This window comes from Homo sapiens, chromosome 3 (genome assembly GCF_000001405.40).
Source record: "Homo sapiens chromosome 3, GRCh38.p14 Primary Assembly".
Classification (NCBI taxonomy): domain Eukaryota; kingdom Metazoa; phylum Chordata; class Mammalia; order Primates; family Hominidae; genus Homo; species Homo sapiens.
Genome location: NC_000003.12, coordinates 36,578,061 through 36,583,682, shown reverse-complemented (window position 1 = coordinate 36,583,682; position 5,622 = coordinate 36,578,061). Strand labels below are relative to the sequence as shown.

Below are 5,622 nucleotides of genomic sequence, written 5' to 3'. Positions count from 1 at the left end.
AGCTGGTTTGAATAATCTGTCTGAAAGGTCACATATCTCGGTTTCTCCAGGACTGGTCCTGGTGCCTTATTTAGTTCATTTGGTGAGGTCATGTTTTTCTGGGTGGTCTTGGTGCTAGTAGATGTTCTTTGGTGTGTGGGCATTGAAGAGTTAGGTGTTTATTGTAGTCTTCACTGTCTGGGCTTGTTTGTACCCATCCTTCTTGGGAAGGCTTTTCAGATATTTGAATGGACTTACGTGTTGTTTTATCTAAACAGTTTCTGCTTTAGGGACACTTGAAGCCCAGTAATGCTGTGGTTCTTGCAAAGTTGTAGAGATACCACTTTGGTGGTCTTGAATAAGATACAGAAAAATTCTATGAATTACTGGGCAAAGACTCTTGTTCTCTTCCCCTACTTTCTCTCAAACAAATGGAGTCTCTCTCTCTCTGTGCTGAGCTGCCTGGAGCTGAGGTCATGGGGACCCAAGCACTCCTTTGGTCACCACCACTGGGACCTCAGTGGTTCAGACCTGAGGCCAGCACATCATTTGGTTTTGCCCAAGGCCCAGTGTAACAACTATCTGACTGTAACCTTTGTTTGGTTAAGGCTCTAAGGCTCTACAATCAGGAGGTGGCAAAGCCAGTCAGATTTTTGCACTTCCCTTCAGGGCAGCAAGTTTTCCCAGCCTCTAGGTGGGTTCAGAGCTGCCATCTGGGAACCAGCGACTGGAGTCAAAAACCTTAAAAATATTCCTGATGTTCTATTATATTGTGGCTAAGCTGGCACTGTAACCATGGGACAAAGTCCTTTCCACTATTCCCTTCCTTTTCCATAGGCAGAGGAGCCTCAACCCATGGCCGCCACCACCACAGGCCCATGGGGAGTACTGCCAGACTACAGCTGATGTTATCTTCAGGCCCAATACCTCTTAAGTCAGCTTGTGGTGAATGCTCCCTGGCCTGGGAGTCACCCTTCAGGAAGTCTGCTCCTCTGGTCCAGGACAAGTCCAGAAATAGCATTCAAGACCCTAGGCTTTGATTTGGGGACCTCAAGAGCCCAATGGTTGCTCTATGATTGAGCTGGTACTTAAGGTACAAAACAAAGTCCTATTTACTTTTCCTTCCACTTTTGTCAAACAGAAGGAGTCTCTCCCTGCAGCAACCATAGCTGGGAGTGTGCTGGTTCTCACATGAAGTCAGGTCTTCTCAGTCTCATCCAAGGCCTATGGCATACTACCTGGGTATTGCTGCTGGTTATCCAAGGTTTCTTTAGTCAGCAGGTGGTGAATCCTGCAAGGACTAGGTCCTCCCTTTAAGACGTCTGTTTCCTTTTGGCCTAGGGTGTGTTTACATGTGTAATCCAGGAACTTGGGCCTGGAATGAGGGCCTCACAACTCTGTCTAGTGCCCTATATCCAAGATGCAAGGCAAAGTCCACTTTACTCTTTTCTCTCCTCTCTTCGAGCAGAAGTAAGGAGTTGCTTTTTTTATTGCTGCAAATTGCACTCCCTGGTATTGGGAGCGAGGTGGCACAAGCACTCCATTAGCCATCTGGCTGGTATCTCAGAAGGTCATGTGCCCTCCAAGTCCACTGGGTCTGAGCCCAGCACAGCACAAAGACTTGCATAGGAATTTTCGTCCTTGTGGCTTAGATTGCCTTTCAAGTTTATTTAGGACCCCAGAGCCCTGTGGCCCACAGTGGTGAGGCTTGCTGGTACTCTGAGTTCTGACCACTGGGATGGGTGATTCCCCTCTGGCTAGGGCTGGTCTAAATACTTCCACCATGGATGGGTGTCAGCTGAGTTTAGCCTGGTTTTGCTTTTATTAATAGTTGTGACAGGGCAGCACTGAGTTCAATGCAGGGTCCCACAATTACTGTACTCTCCCTTCCCCAAGCACATAGATTCTCCACATCACACGGCTGCTGCTGGAGGGATGGAGAAGGGTGGCATCAGCAATTCAAGACTGTCGTTCCTATCCTTTTCAGTACCTCTTTCAGCAATATAAAGTTAAAACCAGGTACTGTACTTGTTCACATGATTTTTGATTCTTATGAAGGTGCTTTTTTTGTGTAGATAGTTGTCAAATTTGGTGTTTCTATGGGGGAGCATGATTGGTGAAGGCTTCTATTTGGTCATCTTGCTCCACTTCCTCTTCCTAATAAACTCTTGACCAAGGTTCACACATACGAATGCTATTGATAAATAGGGCATGTCAGTAGAGGGAATCTGATTTTTTTTTAGTAGCATTTGCCATCTTTGTTTTTTCCTCTTAGGGTTTTCTCTTTTTATTTTGAAATAACTTCTGATTGCCACTACTATCTTTCATTCTTCTTCACTTCCAGGACTCTAATACATGCCTTCTTATTGAGGGCATTCTTGTGTTATAATCTGGTTAGGCCAGCAATCTTAGGTGGTCATTTTCAATAAGAATTAGTGAGAGGGTGCATAAAGAATGAGAAGGTTGACACTGATATTTTGGAGATGAGCAAAAATAAGTTGCTGAGGGAGGTAAAGTGGTAGAGGAAAAGATAATTGAAAGTAAGGCAAGGAACAGTGTGTCTATGACATTGACCGGATTTTCAGTCATGTTGAAATAACCAAGAACAATGACAAGAATTGAGAGGAAAACAATGAAATAAGAACGATGTCTGAGGAGTTAGGAGGTGGCTGTAGGATGTGGGAACAGCAGATGACATAGGCTTTGAGCATGCATCTCAAAGGAGCTGAGGTTTTTGGAAGTGAAGAGAGGAAAAAGTTCTGGAAATAGCAATGAGGATCTGGAAGGACATGTGTCAACCTCATTCTGCTCATACAGAGTCACTTAAGCTGTGGGATAAAAACAGCAGTCTCATGAGAGGACAGGAAAAGAAGCAGTGTCCTTGGGTTCAGCCAGGTGTCAGCTGGTACAAGAAGCTGAATGAAACTTTAGCCCGTAACTTTCCCATAATGTTAACAGTTTCTCCTAGTTTGGCACTTGCCACAAAATTGAAATAGAATATTAAATCCATTTTAATATGGAACAGCTACAATTTCCAGTTATCAAAAAATGTTGATAAAGATACAGACATCAGGTCTAAGGCACCAACTTATTAGTTGTACAAATTTCCAGGAACTCTTTTTATCCATGATGAAAAGCCTAAATTAGAGTTGTTTTGAGTGAATGTTCAAAAGAGAATTACTCCTCTATCATATTGAAGACTCTTGCATATATATATGCATATATATGTGCATATATACATATATGAATATGTATTTTATATATTCATATATATATATACATGTATACATATACGAATACATATATGAATATATATATACATATATTCACTTAGAGGTTTTTATTTTTGTTAGAATGTAACTTTTACATCAAATGCGTATTGATTTTATTTTCTGAAAAAGTATTAGAACTAAAGCATTTTAATTTCTATTTTTTTGGGGGAAGCCAGTTTTTTTAAACATCAAGTTTTGGCCTATATATCCTTTCTTTTCCTTTTTTTGTAACATTGCAATTCAATCACACAGAAATGTTGAAAGTTTGAGAATCCCTGTAAATGGTAAGAAAAAGGATCAGTGTCCTACAGGGACACAGACACAAGGCTAGCACCTGCTTGTGAGAGTTGGCAGGTGTGCTGCAGGTTTTTCTGGGTCATGTTCAAGAGAATAATTGGCATTCACATGTCCATAGGCTACGGGTTTTCCTTCTAGTTGTTGAAATATCAGAATAGTTGTGGGCCCCAGAGACTGAATGAGATTGTTAGTCATCAGTGACCCCACAGTAACAGCAGAACTTGCTTAATTAGAAAATCATGGGCACTTATGTAGTTTGTATTTTCTTATTGAAGAAGTTTCTTCAATAGAAATAACTTACTAAAAATCATCCAAAACAAAACCAGGTTCCTGGTATCCCCAATTCAATCTCACTCCCTTCAATGAAGGACAGCTTGGGAGCTAAAGTGGAACAGAAATATGAGACAGATTTTCAATATGGTACCACAGGAAACCCTACCATTCCTTTAATTCTAGAAAACTACTCAACTTCAGAGAGTTGGCCCAATAATGACTTGATTGCTTTACAAAGTGAGATGAGCTCACACATAAAACACAAAGTAAACATTCAGGACAATGCTCTTGGTGTTATAGTACATCATGAATAGGAATGAAATAGAATTTACCAATAATAAAAGGCTCTTGGGTAGAAGGACTAAATGACAGGCATTATGCCTTTCAGACCAGGGTTCCCAGTATAGTAAACTCTCAAATGAAAGTAGAAATTTCTAGAAAACTGACTTTCACTAAAAATGCAGTTTATGGGAAAATAGCAACTTTTTTTTTTCTTCTGTGGTCTTGATTGCTCTAAAACATACTGTGGCAAGGGTCTCAGTTTTGTATGAACCTCCTTTAAGAAATAATTTAGAGTCATAGACCATTAGAATGAGTTAAAAGCAACCCTAGTAAACCCTATTTATGTTCAGATGCTCCTTGACTTATGATGGGATTATGTCCTTATAAATCCAATTGTTGTGGGAAGTCAGGGACCCTGAACAGAGGGACTGGCTGAAGTCATGGCAGAAGAACATAAATTGTGAAGATTTCATGGACATTTATTAGTTCCCCAAATTAATACTTTTATGATTTCTTATGCCTGTCTTTACTGCAATCTCTGAACATAAATTGTGAAGATTTCATGGACATTTATCACTTCCCCAATCAATACTCTTATGATTTCCTCTGCCTGTCTTTACTTTAATCTCTTAATCCTGTCATCTTCATAAGATGAGGAGGATGTATGTCACCTCAGGATCCTGTGATGATTGCATTAACTGTACAAATTGTTTAAGCAATATGAAATCTGGGCATCTTGAAAAAAGAACAGGATAACAGCGATGTTCAGGGAACAAAGGAGATAACCACTAGGTCTGGCTGCCTGAGAGCTGGGCAGAACAGAGCCATATATCTCTTCTTTCAAAAGCAAATAGGAGAAATATCACTGAATTCTTTTTCTCAGCAAAGAACATCCCTGAGGAGAATGCTTTCCCAAGGGGAGGTCTCCAAAATGGCTGCTTTGGGAACGTCTGTCTTTTATGGTTGTAGATAAGGGATATAAGGGATGAAATAAGCCCCGGTCTCCCAGAGTGCTCCCAGGTTTATTAGGACGAGGAAATTCTCTCCTAATAAATTTTGGTCAGACAGGTTGTCTGCTCTCAAACCCTGTCTCCTGATAAGATGTTATCAATAACAATGCATGCCCAAAACTTCATTAGCAATTTTAATTTCGCCCCAGTCCTGTGATCTCGTCCTGCCTCCATTTGCCTTGTGATATTTTATTACCTTGTGAAGCATGTGATCTCTGTGACCCACACCCTATTTGTACACTCCCTCCCCTTTTGAAAATCACTAATAAAAACTTGCTGGTTTTGTGGCTTTGGGGGCATCACGGAACCTGCTGACATGTGATGTCTGACCTGGACATCCAGCTTTAAAATTTCTCTCTTTTGTACCTTTTCCCTTTATTTCTCAGACCAGCCGACGCTTAGGGAAAATAGAAAAGGACTCACTTTGAATATTGGGGGCTGGTTTCCCCCGATACACAATAAGTTTATAACTTGAAAATATCATAAGCCAAAAATGTATTTAGTATGTC

General features: G+C 40.8%; 1 annotated feature.

Moving 5' to 3' along the window:
• Positions 4,999-5,199: a silencer, noted in NCBI's record as "peak4610 fragment used in MPRA reporter construct". NCBI's record gives its function as "represses an SCP1 promoter by STARR-seq MPRAs in K562 erythroleukemia cells {active_cell/tissue: K562}" and the evidence as "EXISTENCE:reporter gene assay evidence [ECO:0000049][PMID:32103011]".